This window comes from Homo sapiens, chromosome 11 (assembly GCF_000001405.40).
Source record: "Homo sapiens chromosome 11, GRCh38.p14 Primary Assembly".
Classification (NCBI taxonomy): domain Eukaryota; kingdom Metazoa; phylum Chordata; class Mammalia; order Primates; family Hominidae; genus Homo; species Homo sapiens.
This window is the reverse complement of record NC_000011.10, coordinates 24751631-24776515: the sequence shown is the minus strand read 5'-3', so window position 1 is coordinate 24776515 and position 24885 is coordinate 24751631. Positions and strand designations below refer to the sequence as shown.

The 24885-nt window shown below is 34.7% G+C and overlaps 1 protein-coding gene across 9 annotated transcripts in view, besides 1 other annotated feature; it reads right to left on the bottom strand.

Moving 5' to 3' along the window:
- Positions 1 to 24885, bottom strand: part of LUZP2 (leucine zipper protein 2) — a 585586-nt gene that overhangs the window by 306123 nt on the left and 254578 nt on the right. For all 9 annotated transcript variants that reach the window (NM_001009909.4, NM_001252010.2, NM_001252008.2 and 6 more), the window contains exon 5: positions 13208 to 13270. In NM_001009909.4, coding sequence (NP_001009909.2) covers positions 13208 to 13270 — 63 coding nt within the window. The remainder of the gene's footprint in view (positions 1 to 13207; positions 13271 to 24885) is intronic.
- Positions 20518 to 21019: an enhancer, noted in NCBI's record as "NANOG hESC enhancer chr11:24777043-24777544 (GRCh37/hg19 assembly coordinates)". NCBI's record gives its function as "activates a minimal SCP1, AML or CMV promoter by ChIP-STARR-seq in naive H9 embryonic stem cells {active_cell/tissue: H9 hESC(naive)}" and the evidence as "EXISTENCE:reporter gene assay evidence [ECO:0000049][PMID:30033119]".

Below are 24885 nucleotides of genomic sequence, written 5' to 3'. Positions count from 1 at the left end.
ATAGTTTTCTGGATATATTTACTTATCAGTCCAGGTACTCTTCTATAATGAACTCTTCTTTCCTGTGGGAAATCTGTGTTTTGAGTAGGGTAAATTTCATCCAACATAAGAGCAGAAATGTGACTCAGGCTTAGCAATTAAACTGCCCATTTCCCTGACCATGGTGGTTGACTCAGGAATGTGATCAATTCAGTATCTTCTCTGGGATTTTTCCGTTAGTCCAATTTGAAAAGGTTTTCTCCATAGGCTATTGTTTCTAATTAAAATATGAATTGCACAGTTGTTAGTCTTCTTGTCTGACATGTGGAAAGAAATGCTTTAAGAGATGAAATGAGACTGTCTAAAAGTGATAATTAGAGTCCTTTCTTACCTTTGCATTTTTATTGATAAGTTTAACTTATGGTTCTAAGTTATGAAGTTGTTGATTGGCTGATTTTTAGAACTTAAGAAACTTTTGATTGGTTGTTTGATTTTTAGAACCATTTCTAAGCAAATATTTATCTGTACATAACACTGCTTATTGATGAACTAATTTTAACTCAGAACCCAATAACAATAATGGAGGATGATGATAGCTTCCATTTGGTGACAGCTTAATATGTACTAAATGTCTAACATGCATAGTTTTCTCTTGTACTAAATTAACCACATTTTGAGGTACATAAAATAATATTTACCAAAGGCATAAGAGTAAAGAGCTAAACTTTCTCCTTTACTTGAAGCATGTTCAGGGAACACTAGCTATCTCTCTCTCAGAGAACCGAAAAAGTGACCCAGATGCAACCAGGGTATAAGGAGCATGGTTTCAACTGAGTCACGTCTAAGATTGTATACAATGGTGTTATCCTAGCCAACATTCTGCTGCAGGAAATTAATGAGTGAAATTAATTGATAAAAGCAGCAAATAAAATGAAAATTAAAGTAGGCTGCAAACTTCCATAAGACAGCCACCCTGACTTACCTCTGGAATACTAAGTAAAAAGTCTACAACACCCTTGAGAAGTAGAAAGCTGGCTGACGTATCAGCTAAGAGAACTTTTCAGATTTATGTTTCTTTATATTATGCTTTGGCTGTAACAATTGGATTGGCTGTCCCAATGTCTCTTTATAACAGATACTTACAGCATTGATTTGGGAACCACAAATATTTTCTTTGCAAGTAAGCTGGCCTGAAATTGGATTCCACCACAATGCACTATCAAAATGAACTTTATGCACATTAATAAACAAGTAACAATTTCTTCACCTACAAGAGGACTTGTGAGGTATCAACATTTTCCTGTTTACTTTCTTTGTAGTGAGCAAATAGTCATAAATTCAAATTATATTATACTTTTCAAAAGCTACCCCTTAGATGAAGCCTTCAGTAGACATTACACTTTTCTGGGTTATTGTCGTCATCTTCCCCCTTTCCAGGTTATATTGTAAAACGCTCATTTCAATGATTTTTACTGTAGTTTTGAGCAATTTTAGAAATTATTATTGTATTTTATATTATATGGCAAATATGTCACCTGTTATGTAATATTCCTAGAGTAGGTAGGTAGCCAGAAATGAGCAGGCAAGGGATCCCTCTGGGAAAAGAAGTTCTAGAGATGCCGTATTAGTCACGATTCTCTAGAGGGACAGAACTAAAAGAATATACATATATATTCTTTATATATATTCTACATATATATAGAATGTATTCTATATATATTCTTTATATATATTCTACATATATATAGAATATATTCTATATATATTCTTTATATATATTCTACATATATATAGAATATATTCTATATATATTCTTTATATATATTCTACATATATATAGAATATATTCTATATATATTCTTTATATATATTCTACATATATATAGAATATATTCTATATATATTCTTTATATATATTCTACATATATATAGAATATATTCTATATATATTCTTTATATATATTCTACATATATATAGAATATATTCTATATATATTCTTTATATATATTCTACATATATATAGAATATATTCTATATATATTCTTTATATATATATTCTCTCTACAGATATATAAAGAATATATTCTTTATATATATATTCTCCCTACAGATATATAAAGAATATATTCTTTATAAATATGTGTGTGTGTATGTATATATATATATATATATAGAGAGAGAGAGAGAGAGAGAGAGAGAGAGAAGTTTACTAAGTATTAACTCATTAACTCACACAATCACAGGGCCCCATAATAGGCCATCTGCACAGGCTGAGGAGCAAAGAGTCCGAGTTCCAGAGCTGAAGAATTTGAAGTCTAATGTTCGAGCGCAGGAAGCATCCAGCACAGGAGAAAGATGTAGGTTGAGAGGCTAGGCCAGTCTCTCTTTTCACATTTTTCTACCTGCTTATATTCTGGCTGTACTGGCAGCTGATTAGATTGTGCCCACCCAGATTAAGGGTGGGTCTGCCTTTCCCAGCCCGCTGACTCAAATGTTAACCTCCTTTGGCAACAACCTCGCAGACACACCCAGGATCAATACTTTGTATCCTTCAATCCAATCTAGTTGACACTCAGTATTAACCATCACAGAGGCTGCCCACTGACAGAAAAAAGGACAATGGCTACATTGGCTACATGTGGCTTTGTGGTTAGGGTCCTCGGGCACTGAAGGGGGCTTAACAGTCCTTAGTGGGAGATGACCATGCTAGAGATTTTCCCTTGTGGCAAGCATGTGCACTCCTCCAAAACTCACTGGAGAGTAGCCTTTTGCTGATTATAATAGTAAAGAACATACTCCTAGGTGGAGATTTTAAATGCTACTGAGACATGAGACATGTGTAATAGCATGTACAACCACAGAACATGTGCACCCTAAGGGACCTCCCAAGCCATGAATAATTCACACACCTTTGTGAATAATTATGTAAGATTCCCATAATAAGTCTCCCAACACCGGCTGCTGATGGCTCATTCTTTTGAACAGCCCACTCTGTCTCATCCTTCAGAGTTACTACCTCTAAGTAAACACTGTTATGATTATTTTTCCAGCTAGACCAGCCTGGGGCTATGTTCCACACCTCTCTAGGAATGTACTTTATCTTCTTCCAATAAACTCTGCTACTTAACGTTTGCTATTCATCTCTTGGCTGAATTCTTCCTTCCAAGTTAGACAAGAACCAAGGAGATCTGTACTTCTCGGTAACAGTATTAAATGTTCTTTACATTTCTCATGGTTAGCGATTGTTTTACTTAATTTGATTTTAATAATACTTGTATGCCTCTGGAATCTAGCACAATGTTGGGACAATATTGGAATTAAGTAATATATTCCAGAAATAAATATACAGATAAATATTACATATGCATTTAAATAAGCAATTTTAGGATACTTCCATTGATAGATTTATACCTAATAAAATGCTTTCTCCTTGCCTTTCAAAAAAAAAAAAAAACTACACTGTTTATGAGGAATATACAAAATGCCACAGATGGTGGAGTGGTTTAATAGTATCACCCCAAAATTCATGTCTACCTAGAACTTCAGAATATGAACTTATTTGGAAATAAGTTATTTGCACATGAAATTGTTAAAACAAGGTCATACTGGATTAGAGTGGGTTCAAAATCTAATAAATGATGTCGTTATAAGAAGAGGAGAAGACACACAAAGACATAGAGGCACATGAATAAGAGGCACATAGAGGCATACGAATACTGAAGCAGAGATTGGAGTGATACCACTACAAGCCAAAGAGTGACATGGATTGCCAGGAGACACTAGAAGCCAGGAAGAGGCCCTGTTGACACTGTGGATCCAGACTTGTAGCCTCCAGAATTGAGAGACAGGAAATTCCTGTTGTTTTAGGACACATACTTTTTTATACTTTTTAACAGTAGCCTTAGAACCTTATATGGATAGTTTATAGGGAGCTTCACATGCTGGATACGAAATTAACCAGAACAATCAGTTGACTAACATTTCACAGAAATCATCACTTAAGATAGGCAAATAACCAGCAATAAAGTGAAAAAAAAGAAAGTTATAATTAAATATCTTAAAAACCTCTTGGGTGTGTCCTGGACTCAGTAAATATTCGACTCAAACTCCTACACCTATTCATCTGTAGGCAGGCATAAGAATTCATTTTCAGAATAGTGACCCTGAAGCACTCTATCATGTTAAGAAATATCCCATCATCTTCACTTCAGTGTGTTTATTGAGGCAAGAAGGTAGAATAATTTATTTTAGAAAGATTTACAGCCACAAGAGTTGAACCAAAGTGAGTTTTCTTCTTAAAATTTAGAGTTTTCCCTAGATCATTGGTTATTGACCTTTATTGTTTTTTTTATTTTAGTCAAGGACTTCTTCTGAGAATCTAGGCCCTCTTCCTTGAAAAACACAACACATATACTGTTTTTCTGCATCATTTCAGGATGGCCAGTGATTCTCAGATATCAGTCTTTGTATATTGTGGGGTCTTTAAGCATTCCTATGAAGGAATATTGCTAATTAGGAATTGTATTGTCCTCTTCTCATGCTGCTAATAAAGACATAACTGAGACTGGGTAATTTATAAAGGAAAGAGGCTTAATTGACTCACAGTTCCACATGGCTGGGGAGGTCTGACAATCATGGAGGTAGGTGAACGAGGAGCAAAGTCATGTCTTACACGGTGTCAGGTCAGGCAAGAAGAGCTTGTGCAGGGTAACTCTAATTTATAAAACCATCAGATCTCATGAGACTTATTCACTACTGGGAGAACAGTACGGGGAAAACTGCCCCCATGATTCAATTATCTCCACCTGGCCCCCACCCTTTGACACGTGGGGATTATTACAAATTAAGGTGAGATTTGGGTAGGGACACAGCCAAACCATGTCAGTAATTAAGCTTTTATCTCCAAATTTGGAGGTAGTGTCTTTTTCTTAATTCATGTAATTCATTAGTACTAGTAAGAACAGACTTGAATATGGTCTTAATATATTCTCAATATATGCAAAGTCCTGGCCCTGTGTTGTCTTTGTGAAAAATGTGAACTATGATGTGCTATGGAAGGTAGGTTTCTAACTTCAAGGCATTTGCATCATGTTAAGAAAATAATTCTGAGAAATGCAAAGTTAAAAATCACATGAATAGATACGATGCCATGTATATACATAAGACACTATAACATACATGCACACACTATTGAGTACTCCATCATTGGTACTCACAACTTGTTTCTCACTTATTCAATAGCCTTCAATGATGACCTACTGTCTACTAAAGCTGGTTATCATGGACTATAACTCTTTATTAAGAAAGGTTGCCTTTAATACACAGGTTACTAATTTATGAGGACTAGATTCTGCAATGTGAAAGCTTTCTATAGTATCAAATCTATATTTCCCATGAAAAATTAAAGCAGACAAATAAAAATAAACAAAATCTGAAAATTCATTGCGGCTCTAGGTCAGATATGACTTAGGCTTTACTATTCAGACATGATCTGTGCAATATGTGGATACAGGAATTTGTTACTTGAGAAAATAGGCTAAATGCTATCCATCCTCTGTTGCAGAAGGCCCAGGGTGTGTGGTGCTGGAGCCTGCAGTGGCAGGGCAGCAGGCAGGCTGGCAACTTCCTGATTCAGGCGGAGGTAGTGCTTTCTCAAGACAGCCAAATCAGTGGTGTGTTTGTAGAGTTTTTTCTAAGGTACAACCTATAAGCTGTATTTTTAGCTCTTCAAACGATTTTGTAAGATATCTATAGGAATTAATAAATTCCTTTCTTAAAAGAACAAATTTTGCCATAACCAAGAATAGTAACTGCTTTATTGCCCCTAAAAATCATGTTTTATTCATCATATTCCTGGATATGTGTCAATGGCTATTTGGAACTACTTGGGAATCCGATATTGGCCAGTGACTTGAATTGTGCAAGATTTTTCTCTCAGGCACTTAGAGCAATGACATTAAAACAAAATATAAAAGGACATTAAATCAGTTGATAACAGGAGCTGAAGAAGACATATTAATAAGCCAGAATTGTAGTAAACTATATGGTCCATATAACAAACAGATGAGAAAGATAACTGAGAGACTTGAAAGAAAGGAAAATAGAGACATGAAATAATAAAAGGAAAAGGATGCCACTGAGATAGAGTAGCTGGGTTAATTTCTGATTTCCACCACTGACCAGAATCAAACCCACTCTTATGATTACTGACCTAATTTAAACTAATTAAAGATATTTGTCCTAGTGCCTGATTTGTCTAATAATTCCTAGACTTATATATTATCCCACTCATTCCCAAGCCTTTCTTATATCTCAGACCGTTACAGACAAACTGATTTTATCCTAGAAGTAAAATAATTAAAATTCAAGAAAATTACAAATGATAGTACAGAAAGGGTGTTTTGAAAGTGAAAGAATACATTCTGAACTTTGAGAATTTAGTGTCCTGGTGCAGTGGCTCACGCCTGTAATCCCAGCACTTTGGGAGCCTGAGGTGGGCAGATCACTTGAGGTCAGGAGTTCGAGACCAGCCTGGCCAATATGGCAAAACCTCATCTCTACTGAAAATACAAAAATTTAGCCGGGGGTGCTGGTGCATGTCTATAGTCCTAGCTACTTAGGAGGCTGGGGCAAGAGAATTGCTTGAACCCGGGAGGCGGAGGTTGCAGTGAGCCATGATGGTGCCACTGCACTCCAGCCTGGGTGACAGAGCGAGACTCTGTCTCAAAACAAAACAAACAAACAAAAAAGAGAATTTAGTGTGATTCCCTATTTCATCCTTACCTTGAGCTATCGAATGAGTCTCAGGAAACAAATCAATTATAATCCCAAAAAAAAAAAAATAGACCACCATAGAAGAAAATAAGGAAAAAAATATCTGCCCCATCTCCTCCATCTTTCCCTTCTCTTCCATGTCTATCTACTGACTAATTCAAGACAGAATGTGTTTTTCATTATTTTATCAGAAACTAGTTTAAATTTTTTAAGTTATTTTTGTTTTATTAGGTTTTAATCGACACATAATTGTACATATTTATCAGCTGCAATGTGATGTTCAATACACATATAGATTGTGTAATTATCAAGTCAGAGTAATCAGCATATCTATCACCTCAAAGAGTTGTTATTTCCTTGTGGTGAGAACATTCAAAATCCTCTTTTCTAACTATTTTGAAATACATAATACACTGTTGGTGACTACAGTGATCCTACTGTGCAATAAGACGCAGAACTTATTTCTCCTACCTAACTTTAACTTTGTACCTGTTGACAAAACTTCTTCCATCTCCTTCTACTCCCTGCTTTCTCCAGCTTCTGATAACCACTATTCTCTCTACTTCTTTGAGATCAACTTTTGTAGATTTCTCATATGAGTGACATCATGCAGTATTTGTCCTTCTGTGCTTGGCTAATTTCACTTAACACAATGTCCTCTAGGTTCATCCATGTTTGCACAAATGACAGGATTTCATTCTTTTTAATAGCTGAATAGTATTTCATTGTTTATATATACCACATTTTTATCCATTCATCTATAAACACATTGATTCCATATCTTAGCTATTGTGATAGTGCTGCAATAAACATGAGTGTGCAGACATCTCTTCAACATATTGATTTCATTTCCTTTGGATATATAACAAGTAGTTATATTATTGGATCATATGGTAGTTCTATTTTTAGTTTTTGAGAAACTTTCATATTGTTGTTCATAATGGCTGTACTCACTGAAGTCCCACCCCTAGTGTATAACAGTTCTTTCTCCACATCCTTGCCAGCATTCCTTACTTCTCTTTTTGATACCAGCCATTTTAACTGAAGTGAGTTGATATTTTATCATAGCTTCGATTGGCATTTTCGTGATGATTAGTGATGTTGGGAGTATTTTTTTATTTACCTTTTGGGCATTTGTAAATCTTCTTCTGATGAATGTCTATGCAGATATTTTGTCCATTTTATCAGATTATTTATTTGCTACTTAATTGCTTGAGTTTCTTACATATTTTAAATATTAACCCCTTGAGCATAGACTGTTTAAATACTAGTGTTCATGAAGTATTTCCAACTATGTAATTCTTTCAAAAGCCCTGAACATTATCCAACTAACACCTTTATTTAAAAATTTTGGCAGGGTGCGATGGCTTATGCCTGTAATCCCAGCACTTTGGGAGGCCAAGGCGGGTGGATCACCTGAGGTCAGGAATTCAAGACCAGCCTGGCCAACATGACAAAACCCTGTCTCCACTAAAAATATAATGCCTGTAGTCCCAGATACTTGGGAGGCTGAGGCAGGAGAATCCTTTGAACCCAGGAGGTGGAGGTTGCAGTGAGCTGAGATGGCACCACTGCGCTCCAGCCAGGGCGACAGAGTGAGACCCTGTATCAAAAAAGGAAAAAAAAAATTTCAACTAATTAAAGATGCTTGTCCCAGTGCCTGATTTGCCTAATATTTCCTAGACTTATATATTATCCTACTCATTTTTGAGCCTGTCTTATATCTCAGACCATTACAGACAAATTGATTTTATCTTAGGAGTAAAATAAATAAAATTCAAAAAAAAAAGAAATGATACTATAGAAAGGGTGTTTTGAAAGTGAAAGTCAGAATAAATTCTGACCTTTGAAGCATGGGAGATTGACTACATGATGAGGCAGTTGCCATATGTATGGAAGTTAGAGAAGGGAGGTTGAATTTTTCATTCGTTTCCTTGTTTTGATTTATTTTCTGGTGCAAAACTGTATACTTTTTGCAACCAAACAATATTCAAACACAAAATGCAAAATAAACATTGAAGGCACAAGGATGTGTTAAAGTAAATTAAAATGGAGATGAGCCCTGAAGAATCCTTGACCAGACAAAGCCAGTTAGGCTTTGTAAGTGACGTTATCGTTGCTTGATTTGCAAACATATGAAAAACTTAATGTGGGCCATTGTAAATAAATGCCTATATTAAAGAAAAACAAAACTTGAGCTTAAACACACAGAAGAAACAAACTTGTAATTTTATAACTAGAGATTTTCCAGTGGGATCGACCAAATACAGCAACTGTCTAACTGTAACCAAACAAATATTTTCTTTGCTTCACTTCTATTTTAGTCACATAAAAACCTTCCACTGTATTTCCTTAGTGAAGCTCCTGAACAACTTCTAGTTCAGAACAGCCCAATTTATGCATTGTTGTTTGCTCAAATAAACTCTTCAAAAATGGTATTATATCTCAGTTAACCTTTTTAACAGAAGGATTACACAAGAGAGATTAGAACTAGAGACTTAGATTACAAAGTTACTGGAAAACTGCTGATATATGAATTATGAGTCCAATTTTGCATATAGGAAATCTTATATTCTACAAATTACACACTAAAAATAGAAATTTTGGAGGGAAAATGGGATTGGGGAAGACCACTTACTAGGTAACATTGTTACCAGAACATAAAAAATAAAAATAAATAAAAAAAATAACAAACTGGGTGTAGGGGTTCACACCTGTAATTCCAGCACTTTAGGAGGCTGATGTGGGTGTGGGTGGATCACACCTGAGGTCAGGAGTTACAGACCAGCCTGGCCAACACGGTGATGCCCCATCTCTACTAAAAATATAGAAATTAGCTGGGTTTGGTGGTGCATGCCTGTAGTCCCAGCTACTCAGGAGGCTGAGCCAGGGGTATCACTTGAACCCAAGAGGTGGAGGTTGCAGTGAGCTGAGATCGCGCCACTGCCCTGTAGCCTGGGCAACAAAGTGAGACTAAGAAAAACAGTAAAGAAACTAATAAAAGTGTAAATACAATTTTTTTTAGCATTTATCTCAAACATAATCATTTGATTCTTTGAAGCTTTATATTCAGGATTTAGTGTTCTTCCTTTGGGATGTAGATCTTTGAGGGAATTGACTTCTAACAAAGCACACTATCATCAAAATTAAAATTTGATGCAGATTTTTCTTAAATCTCTTGTTTCAATGCAGGGGAAAAGTCTTAACAGAAACTTCTGTATTCACATCTTACCCAGCAAAAAGCATAAGAGTTTTAATGCAATAACTATCACTACAACCACTAAAAGGAAGCCCTTTCATACATTTTCAATCTTTTTCTTATGTCCTTGTATTGATAACAATTTCTTTAAAATTTGAAAAGTCTTTTGCCTGAATGCTTCAAAACTCAACATATTGGAAAGAAAAACAAAATGATTTTTAAAGCTTTGCTGACATTATTTCACCCCTTGTTAATTGTTAATATGATTATTTGATGCAAGGAAATACACATTGTTGCGGAATAGATTTGACTTGAATATTTCATAAAAAAAAATATAAAGAGAAAAGCAGACGGCCCAAAACTGAAACTTAGAGACCACATCAATCACAATAGAGCTTTTGTTAAGTCATAACAGTACAATTCAGAGGTTAAAAGTGGTGCCCATGAGAAGATATAGGTAACTGGAAATAGATGAAATAAAGGTGCTTGAAATACTCTGATTGGCAGGGCATGGTGGTTTACTCCTGTAATCCCAGCATTTTAGGAGGCTGAGGTGAGTGGATTTCTTGAGCCCAAGAATGCAAGACCCACCTGGGCAACATAGAGAAACCCCTTCTCTACAAAAAATGCAAAAATTGGCCGGGTGCGGTAGCTCACGCCTGTAATCCCAGCACTTTGGGAGGCCTAGGCAGGCGGATCACCAGGTCAGGAGATGGAGACCATCCTGGCTAACACAGTGAAACCCTGTCTTCATTAAAAATACAAAAAATTAGCCAGGCGTGGTGGCGGGCATCTGTAGTCCTAGCTACTCAGAGGCTGAGGCCAGAGAATGGTGTGAACCTGGGAGGCGCAGCTTGCAGTGAGCCGAGATCAAGCCACGGCACTCCAGCCTGGGCAACAGAGTGAGACTCCGTCTCAAAAAAAAAAAAAAAAGAAAAAAGAAAAAAAAGGAAAAAATTATTGTGTTGCTGTCTATCTCATTTCTTAACATATGTGGTCAATAAATGTGGTACATCACATAACCAGAATTAAAAACAAAACCCATACGGTTGTCTCAATAGATGCAGAAAAAGCATTTGATAAAATCCAGGATCCCTTTATGATAAAAACCCTCAACAAAATAGGCATAGGAGGGACTTAGCCTTCATCTTTTGGCACTTCCCTAATTCCCTCACTCAAAAGTAACCACTTAGTGGATTTCAAACTTCTTCCAGAAATTTATTTGTATCTGTTTTATCTCCCTCACCACTGTATTTTGTTTAATCAATTTACCTGTTTTTTTCTTATGCCTGAACGGAAAATCTTCCATGAAGTGCCCATATAACTTCACTGTACAGTGTATACACCAGTTATTTCATTAAATAAATCTGCCTTAATCTCTACATGCGTACTGATTATTTACTAAAAATTAAATAATTTGATATAAAGGAGTAAAATTGAAAACATTTAATTGCTAATATATGTTCACCGTTAGGTTTTGTAAAAAGACCAAAGCTTTTTTGGTTATCAATTTTCATTTCATATGTTCTTAATAGTATTAAAGTGAATAGTAGCAAATTTAATTATAAAACTCATATTTAGCAGATATTATTTCTGTAGGGTTGTATTTCTTTCTGAATTATTCTAGTCTATGTAGTTATCAAAGTGCAATTTCACTATAAAAATAACCTCCCAAGACAAAGTATTTTGTTACTTGTTATTAATAATTCATAGTTTTGCGTTTATTTATTTATTTGGTAGAGATGGAATCTCATTATGTTGCTTAGGCTGACTTGGAACTCTTGGCCTTAAGCAACCCTGCTGCCTTGGCCTCCCAAAGCACTGGGATTACAGGCATGAGCCAGCCTGGTAGGTTTTTGTTGTTGTTCTAATTTTTATTTTTTAAACTTATTTTTAATAGAGACAGGGTCTTGCTCTGTCACCCAGGCTGAAATTCAGTGACATGATCACTGTTCACTGCAACCTCGACCTCTCAGGCTCAAGCAATCCTCCTGCCTTGGCCTCGTAAGAAGCTGGGACTACAAGTGAGCCACCACTCCCAGCTAATTTTTTTTTTTTTTTTTTTTTTTTTTAGAGATGAGATTTTACCATGTTGTCCAGACTGGTCTCAAACTCCTGGGCTCAAGCGATCCTCCCACCTCAGCCTCCCTAAGTGCTGGGATTATAGTTGTGAGCCACTGTGCCCAGCCTAGTGGTTTTTTGAAAGAACTTCCTCCTTAGTTGAATTCTAGATTTTAAGAAGTTATCTAAGATTAAAAGTGAACTGATGCTACTTATGTAAAGATAAAAATAAAGTTGAAATTCTCTTATAATCATACAACTGGGTTCATATTGCTGATTGTGTGTGTACGCGCCCACGCACGTGTGCATGTGCATATATAAATGTACTCCCTACCCTATTTTAAAACTGACTTTAATCTCGTTTAAAATGTTTTCCTTGTTTTAAATCGTATGTGAGCATTTTTTGATTTGAGTAAGCTGGCTTTCTCACTGAGCCCTAAATGACTCCAACAAAATAAATATTATCCATTATACCCAGTATTCTGATTACTCTGGTATGTTGATATTTTCCATCATAATCAGGATTCAAAATAAAACATAATTAGTGAGATTGATCAAGGAAGACTTATCGTGAATTAGTCATGGCTCAATGGTCTTAATTAATTGCATTTAATAAAAAGGAAATGAAAAGGTAGAAATAGGTAATGGAGAAATTATAAAAAATTAAAGTAATTGTATAACAAGATAAAGAATCAAAGAAGAAAAATGTATGCAGTATTTAATAGGATGCTTACATTTTAAAGGCTATCATGGAAATGATTACAACTTGTTTATGTTTAAATTTACATTATTTTGAGATTATCCTTAAACACATTTTTCATTCTAGATTGGCCCTTTCTAGCACGCAGCCAATTTCTAGCTAGCTTTCTTCTTCAGTGCCTGTAATGTCATTTATTAAACAAATAAGTAAATGTATTAAATGAAAATTGATTTTTAATATCACCCTAAACAAAATATAATTAGAAAGAAAAATGAACTAGAGAAGTTTGGACTAATGAAATGATCAAATATATATAAACGTAAGGATTATCTACTTTTTGAAATTCTTCACCTTACAATTTCTCTACATTAGTTTATAACTGAAAATTAAATATGCAAGTGTTTAATACTCCAAACTAGTGGCAACTTTATATGTGCATTTATGTATATTATTTGATCTATATAAAATGTATCTAAGATGAAATATATCTTACCTCATTCTGGAGGTCTCGGATCATTTTGCTCTTTCTTTCAACTTCAGTCTTTAAAAAATTAATCTGAAAATGAATAGACTATTATGTAGACACATTCCAAACTCATTACCATGGCTTTCATTATTTTTTTCATTATTTTGAGAAATAATAAATTATTTATTAACAAATATTGAAAAAGAACAAAGAATTACACTGTTCCTTAATCAAAACCTTCATTACTAAATTCACACATATATTCATTGATTATATTAAAATATCTTTTTTCATTTAACAAACTATTTATTATTTTTTTTTTAAATTGAGAAACCCTACACTTTATGACTGTGATTCTCTTGCCTGGATAAACTTCATTTCCTTTTAAAAATGTGGTTCTTTAAAAAAAGAAAAAATAGATTCTAGAGTTGAACCTAGGAATCTCTATTTCTAAAACACTCCAGGTAATTATGACCTGTCGCCAAGTGTCAGAGCAATTACATAATAATATCCCTTACCTCAAAACTACGGGACATTAAGAATAGTCTACCGAAGACACCATGATGTTTCCTTCTGAACAAGATATCATCAGGATCTGTCACCTTATGCCACTTATTGGAACCGTATTTCCTAAAAATAGCATTACCTGCCCGAGTGCTTTGTAAAAAATGGTAGTATAGTAAGTGGTCAAGACTTTTTATAGAATTTATAATCTTTATAATCCCTGAGAGTACACTAGTCACTGAGACTTTATAGTCACTGAGGGTTCCCTATAATAAGAAAATAACTATGACAGTGGATGAAACATTTAATTTATCCAATTTTCAATTTTCTTGTAGTCACATTTTTAATAAAGTAATGACACAGGTGAATTTAATTTTTCTAATACACTTAATTTGATATATTCAAAATATTATTTGGACATGGATTATTCATGACATAATTTACATTCTTTTTGTGTTATATGCCTTTAGATTCCAATGTGTGTTTTACACTTACAGTACATCTCAGTTTGGATTAGTCATATTTCTAATGCTCAATAGCCTCATGCATTGAACAATGTATTCTTAGAAGTTTCCTGAAATGATAAAAGAGACTCACGATCCAGGTGATCTCTGAAGATAGACTGAGTCATTGGGTTGGAAGCTAAATTTAGGAAGAAGGTTAATTTTTACCATATACACAACTTTAAAAAATATTTAGTTCTGAAACATTTCAAACATGAAGAAAAGAACAAGAATACGTAAAATGCCTGTGGGCTAACCCTACACATTAACCAGATATGAATGTTTTGTCCAATTTTCTTCAGACCCTTTTATAAGTAATATATTATTATTTATCATTATTTATTATTAAAGTTTCAGCTAACTTCTATTCCTTTCTTCACCCCCACCCCCCCAGGTAACCACTATACTGAACTTACATATTTGTCTCATGCATATTTTTATACATTTTATTTATTGTGTATGCGCTTATGAAAAATAAATACTATTACTTTATGTTAAAGTTTGCCTAAATTATGAGAAAATCAACTTTATGAGATTTATTTGTATTTATTTTATGTAATACCAGTTAATTTATTGTAGCTAGTGAATTTGTTATGGTAGTAACCACAGTTGAAAGTAAACAATTACTAAATTAATCAAGGTGAAGAACGAGGCACTGTAACTGACATATCCCTAAATACAGTGGTTTAAATGAGATAGATTTTTCTCTCATAGAGCAGTATATAGGTGTCTGCAGCCTGGAGCCCAGAGGTGAGTGGCCCACAGCCTGGATACAGCTCTGGCATTAGCAATCATCCTTTGAATGATTTTTCCCATTATCATCATTTCCCAGTTACTGGATGATGTGTCTTGGGTCTGTGTTCCCACCCTAATCTCATGTTGAAATGTAATCCTTAATCCTTAACACTGGAGCTAGGACCTGGTGGCAGGTGATTGGATCATAGGGGTGGTTTCTAATGGTTTAGCACCATCCTACTGCTGTTTTTATAATAGAGTTATTATGAGATATGATTGTTTAAAAGTATGTAGCATCTCTCCCCCTTCTCTGTCTTCCTCCTGTTCTGCCCATGTGAAGCTGCCTACTCCAGCTTTGCCTTCTGCCATGAGTAAAAGCTCCCTGAGACCTCCCCAGCTATGCTTCCTGTATAGCCTGTGGAACCTGAGCCAATTAAACCTTTTTTCTTTATAAATTACCCAGTCTCAGGTATTTCTTTATAACAATGCAAGAACAGATTAATACACAGGATGTGGAAAGTCCAGGGTAAAGAATAACTAAATAATTCTGACTCTAAAATAAAATCTAGGCTATTGGATTTTCCTTGGGAGATTTGAACTGGGAACCTCTAGAGAAAACTGGCTAGTTCTCAGCTGAGATAGGTTAAGGATGTCATAAGGTATTATTAAGACTGTGTTAAGTCAAGTGTTGCATAAGTAATATGCAGAGGAAGTCAGTTGTTACAGAAATAGAAACAGTCAATGGAAAGCCAGCTGAGTCATTTATCTAGAGGACTATAAGAATGAAAATCCATGGATTCCTCTTTCTGACATCTTCAAGAGCTGCAATAGTTCCAGTACCACCTAACAGCCTCATCACATCTGACTCCTGGGCTTGGCTTTCCATAAAATCCATCAGAAGTTTTACAACACCTGTTAACACTTTTTTCTTTCAGGCCTGTATAAGTTTCCAGACATTACCATTTCCTCAGTTGTTACAGAAAACCCAAACCAAACACTTTTTATGGCAAAAGAACACATAATACAGAAAGAGAAGCTTGAGAATTAACATGTCTAGTGTTTTAGCCATATTAATTTTCAAAGTAATCTTGAATTTTGAAAATATTGACAGTAACCCCAAAACACTAGTCCTCATTGTCCATTAGGTAGATAGTTCAAGTTGATAGAAAAACCAAGGTATCACCACTGTAACCCAAAAGTAAAACTCTAAGTCCTCCTAATCAACTGAATGGACTCCTCCACTCAGCCAACGACATTCCAAAGTTAACCTGAAACACAAGTTCAGGCCATGATGGGAATTTAACATTAAAACGGAGACCTTAAGATAATCTATTTGCTCTGAAGCCTGCTACCTGGAGGCTTTATCTGCATAATAAAAACCCTGGTCTCCATAACACAACCACTTATCTTAACCCAGACACTCCCTACTATTGATTCTAACTCTTAGATAACCAATTGCCAATCAGAATATCTTTGCCAATTGCCGATCACAAAATCTTTGAAATCAACTATGACCTGGAAGCTGGACATTCTGCCACCCTACTGGCTCCCCACCACTTCAAGTTGTCCTGCCTTTCTGGACCAAACCAATGTACATCTTACATGTATTCACTGATGTCTTCTGTCTCCCTAAAACATATAAAACCAAGCTGTAGCCCGACCACCAGGGGCACTTGTTCTCAGACCCTCATGAGGCTTTGTCACTGACATGTCCTTAACCTTGGTGAAATAAGCTTTGAAATTGATTGAGATCTGTCTCAGATACTTTTTGATTTACACCAAGTAGAACCTAACCCCATTCAAAATTAAACACGTATGCAGAGTAACAGTGCATCCCCCAAAAAACAGCTTTTACATTCTTTTCTACACAAGCATTTTATTAGCTCCAGAAAATTTTGCTTTGTACAGATTTGTCTTTAGTTATGTCACGAACTACTTAAAGCCATATTACTTATATTAATAACCTGTTCTTTCACTGATACCATTATTTCCCCCAAATCCCCATATATGGATACTGCACGCATTGTTCATACTTAACAATTAACTTTAATTAAAGTATAATGAAAATACATTACCATGTCAAGACTATAATTATTAAATGTTAAACAAGGACAGAAAAACTTGAGAATGCAATACTTAAATATTCAAGACATAAAATATATTTTGAACATTAAAAATATATTAGCATTTTAGGCCATGGATTTAGAATCCCAACAGATTTTTAACACCCATGAAAGAATAAGCATTCCTATTGATAGTTATACAATAATTCTCAGAAACAGAAAATACATTGTATTTACCCTGAATAAGATTGAAAGAACATAACAATTCTTTATTTTTAATGAGATTCAAAGCTTGAAGCTAAAACTCTTGCTTTAGACTAATTATGTCTCAGGACAAGTTAAGCCATAAAAATTAACAAGAGTAGGGAAATGCATTCAATAATCATTAAAATCTTTAATTATCCTGGTCACACCTGAGAGCCCATTCTTCACTGCTGTCTGTTAGGGTTTTCCATTAGGGTCACAGGTTTGAAATATTTACCATTTCATTATTTGCTTAGGAATAAACATAAATGTTTCTATTTCCATAAAGAGTATTTTTAAACAGAATTAGATCAAGAAAGATACACTGTTTTTTAATTTATTTTTTCAGATATACATCTTTTTTCATATTTTTTAAATTCAATGAGGAAGATCATCTTTTTTCAATCAATGAAAAAATGATAAATAAATCAATGTTTCATAGCATTTTACTATAGACTTACCAAATGTGAGCATTTGCACCATATGTGCATAAACAAACAATCTCTTATCTTGATAGAAAAAAATCCATAGTAATTTGATGTTTAGTCAAGGACAATACATAAGATTATCTGCTCTTAAATCTAAAATAGCACAATATTTCTCTAATCAAATCCAAAATTTGCCCCAATTTGAGAGAGAGCATCAGTGATCTTAATCTCCCTTACTTATCCAAACTTCAATTACAACTATAGTCTTCCTTTCAGTGAAAATAATTAGTGGATGATTTATACAATAAAAAAGTTATAAATATGTGTTAATTTAATCCTTATTTAACCTAGAATCTTCAAATAGGGAGAAAAACTACAAAGGATTTTATTTGAATCTTTACCAAAATTTTTAAGTGTTGATCCCAGTGATATTAATCTTTCCCTAGATTCCACCATCAACCAGATGCACATTATAAAATAAAATATTCATGATATACACACAAGCACATGTACACACACACACACACACACACACGCAAGTCATTCCCACATTAGTTAAAGATTCTGTCATCTCTTTATGGTTTCTGAGTTAGAACATATCACTCTTTCAATTCAAAACATAGAACACATTTTCCTGAAGAGATAAGACATGTTTGCCTTCATTGATCATGATGTGTATTTTGTTAATATACTCTTAGATTTGTTTATTCAGAATTTTTACATCTACATTCATTAATGAAATATGCCTATAAGTTTATTTAGTCATATTGTTATGAATTGATTTGCAATAATAAATGCATATGCTCACATAACGAGATGAGAGTTATTTATTTTCCACAAAATACTTGCATTTATTAGGAATTAATTGGTCATTGAAAATTAGGTAAAAGTCATCATTAAAATCCTTCTTCAGAATTTGGGGAAATAGATGCCTTTTAGTACAATGAAATTCCAAATGCATTGGTCTATTCAAGTATTATATTTCTAATTGCAGAAATTTTGGAATTTTATATTAATATGACCTAGGACTTTTGTTTACAATTTAAAATTAATTAGTTGAAAGTTGCTGATCATACTTCAAATTGTGAATATGGCCTTTTTCTCTTTTTTATTTGACATTTGACATTTTAACATTTGAGTCTTTTATTCTTATTCAATTTTTATCATAACCTTTTTTCTTTAGCATAATCTTTTCAAAGAACTAAGGATTTAGGGGATTTTTGTTTCTTTCATAGTTTATTGTTTTTTGTCTAGTCTTTATAATTCTCTTTCGTTAGTACATTGAGTTTGAGCTTCTGCTTTTTAACCAACTTCTTGAATTAATGTCATCTATCTTTCATTTAACTGAAAATGTATTTAAAGCTATTCATTATCCAGTAAGTATTACTTTGACATGTATGATTTTCATTATTATTAAGTGCCAAGTATGACAATGTGTTTGATCATTTCTCACTAATCCAATGGTTATTAGAACATATTTTTAAACAAGAAATTATTTGACCTCTTATAAAAATTATTTTTACTTTTATTAAAATAGAGTTTAATAACATATGTGCTACTAATATTTTTGAATTTATAGAACTTCATTTATGTTTCAATACATATTTTATTTGTATATCATTTCTGTAAATCTACTGGGTGTGGTAAAGAAATATAGGCAGTTTGTCGGTGATTTCTTACTATATACTAATAGTTTAAAATTATCAATTGTAGAGCTTCATGATATACACACAAACACATGTTCTCAGGCCCTCCTGAGCTAAGCACGCAGATGTTCCTGGTGGGCCACATGCCCAGGGATGGCATGGAAGCCCCATGCCCCTTCCCCATAACTTGTCTTATCTATCTCTTCGTATACTTTTTAATTGCCTTTATAATAAACTAGTAAATGTAGATGTTTCCTCGAGTTCTGTAAGGCACTCCAGAAAACTAATCAAAACAAAGCAGGTGGTTATGGGAACCTCAGCTTGAAACTGGTGGGTCAGAAGTTCTATAGGCCATGACTTGAGACTGGTGTCTGAGCAGGGGAAGCAATCTTAGTGACTGAGCCTTCAACCTGTGGGATCTGACACTATCTCCAGCTAAGTAGTGTCAGAATTAAATTGGAGGAGACTCAGCTGGTGTCTGCTACTTCTTAGTAGAACAAATCCCCATACATTTGGTCACAGAAGTCTTCTGTGTTAATTGTTGTGGTATGGGAGCAGAAGAAAAACATGGTTTGACAGTTTTTCCCAAAACAATTTGTGTCAAGGGAATGAGATTTGCTAGCACTGCTTAGGCTCAGGGAAACACAGCTCGGAAAGAGAAATAATAAAAGAGCAGGGGGTGAAGAACCTTTGATTCCTGGGTGGCCACATGGTCCCCCATGGTATAGAGCTGCAGTTATGCTGCATTTGGTTACTCAAGGTAAAAGCTATCAGTGGAATTTAGATATGGATGCACAGGGAAATGCAAACTGTTGATGACAAAAGCCAAACTTCGTAAAATATTTGAAAAGATTTATTTGAAGACAATTGTGAGGACAATCGTTCTTGACACAGTCTCAGGAGATCCTGAGAACATGTGTGTAAGGTGGTTAGGTTACAGCTTGCTTTTATACATTTTAGGAAGACATGTGGAATTAATCAGTGTATCAATACATGTGAGGTACACATTGGTTCGGTCTGAAAATGTAAGATATCTCAAAGGTGGGAGAAGATGTGGCTTTCAGGTCATAGGTAATTGATTAAAACAGTTAAGCTTTGCCTACAGTTGAAGCCAGCAGAAAGAAATGCTTGGGGTTAACATAAGGGGGGTGGTGAAAGCCAAGGTTGTTATTATATAGATGAAGCCGCCACAGAAGCTGACTCTACAGAGAATAGATGGCAAACGTCTCTTATCAGGCCTTAAAATGTGCCAGGCTCGCAGTTAATGTCTTCAGGATTGGAGGGCTTGGAAGGGGAAAGATTGAGTTACATTAATAAAGACTCTTTACAGATAAAAAGAGCCATTTCAAAATATGGTAAGAAAACATATTTTGAGGTAAAATAATTTGATTTCCTTCTTTATTTGTCATGCGATGTTACACTAAAGTCAGGTTGGAATGTTGCTTCTTAATTGCTACAAAGAGTCTGTTTTGTCAGTCTTAAGATCTCAGTTTTAATGTTAATGTTAGTCAGTTGTGTCTAAAATCCAAAAGAAAGAGTGTAATGAGGCATGTCTGTCATCCCCTTCCTGAACTAGTTTTTCAGGTTTCTTTGGAATCCCGTTGGCTGAGAGGGGAGTCCATTCAATCCATCCGGAGGCTTAGAATTTCATTTTTGGTTTATGAAACTAATAAGAGAAAAGCAACATGTTCGAATCCTTGGTTATTTTTATCTATAATAGCTAAAATAGAATTTAAATAGAGTGCTGAGTCAGGCCTTTAGGGGAAACCAAGCTCAGATGTGAGTCTGTCTGAGCTCAGGCCACTAGCCTCAAAGCCACCCGCAAAGGGGAAAATTATGTCAGGAAAACAGAAAGCACTTCTAAGACCTTTGGTCACCAAAAAGGTGGTCAATGTGGGAGAAGGGCAAAAACAAGTAACTACTAAAACTTAGCAGAATGCGAAGTGCGAAGAAATTGTTCACTTTGTACATTGGTATTATCAGCTCTCTGAGGTACCTTTACTAAAATGGATAGTGAAAGTAAATAATTTGCGACTAATGTGTGTGTGTGTTTTTTTTTTCTGTTTTTTAGACAGAGTTTTGCTCTTGTCACCCAGACTGGAGTGCAATGGCATGATCTTGGCTCACTGCAACCTCCACCTCCCAGGTTCAAGTGATTCTTCTGCCTCAGTCTCCCGAGTAGCTGGGATTACAAGCCCCGCCACTATGCCCAGCTAAATTTTGTATTTTTAGTAGAGACGGGGTTTCACCATGTTGGTCGGGCTGGTCTTGAACTCCTGACCTCAGGCGATCCACCCACCTCGCCCCCGCAAAATGCTGGGATTACAGATGTGAGCCACCAAGCCCAGCCAGTGTCTTTGGTTTTAAATGATGCAGAGTAGAAGAACATGTTTGCATTGATGCAGGACCTACAGCTCACTACTGAGTAATTGCAGATGTGTATATATCATAGGAATTTATTCCTGAAGAAATGGCCAGTCTGGTGGGGTGGATAAAAGCCACTGTAAAGTTCTGAAGTGGGACTGTCAGACTCCACCTATAAATGCCAAGTGGAGCACCCCAGATGAAGCAGTTGATATGCTTCATATGCAAGCCAAATGGGATTGCTTTTATGATGTCAGGGACATTCACTGGCTAAATATGCCTGTTACTCAGGTTATGGTAAGTGCTGTGGTTAGGGGAGCCCCATTTTCATGAACACCTCATGTAACCCTGTTGATACAAAACAGAGACAGTCAGAGAAGCCTTATCAAATTTGTTGTCTCAACTTCTCCTCATGGGTCACTACAGATGCTAATAAAACATCAGGTAAATTAACCAGAGAACAGTGAAGGGTAGTGAGGAGAGTGAAAGAACTCATCCCAGAAAGGTGAAAAATTTTAAATAATTAACAAATAAGATGAATAAAGAAAACACTGGCAGAGCATGATGGCTCACAACTGTAATCCTAGGACTTTGGCTGGCCAAGGTAGAAGGATTGCTTGAGGCCAGGAGTTCAAGACCAGTCTGGGCAACATAGTGAAACCTCATCTCTACAAAAAATTAAGAAAAACAAACAAACAAAAAACACTGATGAGGTGAAACTACAAAGAAAAAGAGAAGAGAGAGTCATGGGATTCATCTCACAAGGTGGAAATCTTTAGATGGTTATTAAAATATTAAATGAATAAAATGGAAATTAATGGGGTTAAAACAAAAGTCTAAATACAACACTATCAAAGGCTGAGTAGATCAAAGGGAGACTTGGCTGGTCCCCCAATACTAAAGGGCCCCAAACCAGTTTGCTCTATTTTCCCCAGTCTGAATAAATTTAAAAAGTCAGAATATTTTAAAAGATTACAATGAGAAACCCATCCGTGGCATTGTCTGGGGTAATGGCTATACTGATTAATGAAGATAAAGATTGACAGAAAGGCCAGGGTCCCTTGGCTTAATCTCTGGCTGAGGGCCCAAAGTCTTTCGCACAAGAGAGGGTAAAATAGTCTGCAAGAGAAGAAGAGAAGTTCCTGGGACAAGAACTTAAAAATGTAAAAATGGATAGGATTATAAAAGTTGATATATTTGAACACACCTCATGTGAAGCAGTTTGGTCACTTTTATCTGATTGTATTATGGGAATGAGCGTTGTATCTGATTGGGAAATTCATCTACCTAGTACTGTAAAACAGAAGGCGTGTACATCTGCCCCTCAAGCAATTTTAATAACTCATACTAAATAGGACTCTAATCTTTCCCTGCCTTTCTGTTTGTGGATCATAAAACTCTCATTCTAAAGAGAATCTTGCCCTATACCCTGGGGGACATAAAGCTGAAGTAATGAAGCTTCCATAAAAACCTAGGACTGGGTTCCTACATGGATGAACACTAGAAATTACTGAAGGGTGGCATGTCCAGCGAGCGCATGGAAGCTTCTTGCCCCTTCCCCTATTTCTCGCCTTAGTCATCTCTTCCTCTGTATCCTTCATTATCTCTTTTATAACAAACTGGTGGATGTAAAATAAAATAAAATTATCAATTGTATTTTTAAGATATTCTATGTATCTGCTTATGTTCATGTTCTATGACATATAGCTTGATGAATACTGAAGCTACATTGTTAGGTATATACTTATTTATAATGGTTTTACTTTATTTTATTTTGTTTGCGAGTATATAGTGTCTTCCCTTATTATATCTGTTTCTTAAATTTTATGTGGCAGACATTAATGTTGTTGCCAATTCTTTTCTTTATATTCTTTTGTCTGTATTTTCCTATCTTGCTTATGTTACATATGCAATATTTTCAATTTTTAAACTTAGAACATTTGTATATATTTTCCTATTCTTTTAATTTTAGTTATTCTGTCTCATTTTAAAAATTAAATTATTAAATTTAACCCATTTTAATTTCTCATGATTTCTAATACATTGGAACTTTGGCCATCTTGAATTTTTTGCCTTTTTTCCTTTCCATTATAGGAATTAATTTAATTTTTTCCATCTTATTTTTTTAACAGAGTAAATCAAGTTTTTCTGCATTGAGTTTCAATATTACACATTCTAATTTTGTTCTCACCATAATTGCTTCTAAGTTAAAATATAGAAAATTTATAATAGTCTTGGTTATGTACTATATGTCCCCTTGTTGCACTGCCTCACTCCAATCATATTTTCCCCTCTTCGGCTCTGTTTCCTAAAGGAAAAACTAAATTGGCCAAGGTATTTGTTCACTATTAATCCTCATATCACTTGCAGTCTGCTGTTTATTCTGTTTTTGAGTACAGTATTTCCTCCAAAAGGATTTTCAAAATGGAGCTTTCTCTGGCAACACTTCCATGCTTTACGTGCTTTAACATTTGAATGCCAGTTTATATGTATAGAACAATGTAGAAGCAGTGTACTAAAACATTGCTTTATTGTCTTCTTAAATTCATTAACAATCTTAAGAAGTCTGATATCTATCTGATTATTGCCCTTTTGTGGGTGACCTGTTCTTTCCCTTGGAAAATTTTGTAATTGTATCTTTTATTTTGATATTTTAAAATTTCACGATGGCACGATAAAGTTTCTATTTATTTATATGTGTGCTTTTATTTTGTGACTCAGATACTTGGCAATTTTACTCTGATTCTCCATAGCTTTTAATGCATATTTTATATTTTCTATCTCAGTATTTTGTCGTTCCCTGATGCTTTCTATAAATTTGTCATTATTACTATTTTCTTTCTTATACTTACACCGTTTAGTGTATTCTTTATTTTACCTATTAACTACTGGCTATTGTCTACAGTTAACATTATCAAGTAGTTTTTTTATGATTTTTTGTTTTGTTTTTCTATGTGTTATTACTGTATAGGTTAACTCCTTGGGTATATTTAACATGCTTAACTAAATTGTTAGTTTATCTACTCCAGTAATTCTGCTTCAGAATGCGTATGTAGTGCAATGTGTAGTGTTTCTTTTTAGTAGCTCTGTACTCAAATATCTTGTCATTTTAGCCCTTATCTGATTTTTTTTTTTTTTTTTAATTTTCAATTGCTCTGTGTGGCAATGGGTACAGGAAAAGGGCCAATGATGGCTGCTGTCCTGGGGAGAAAATGAAAA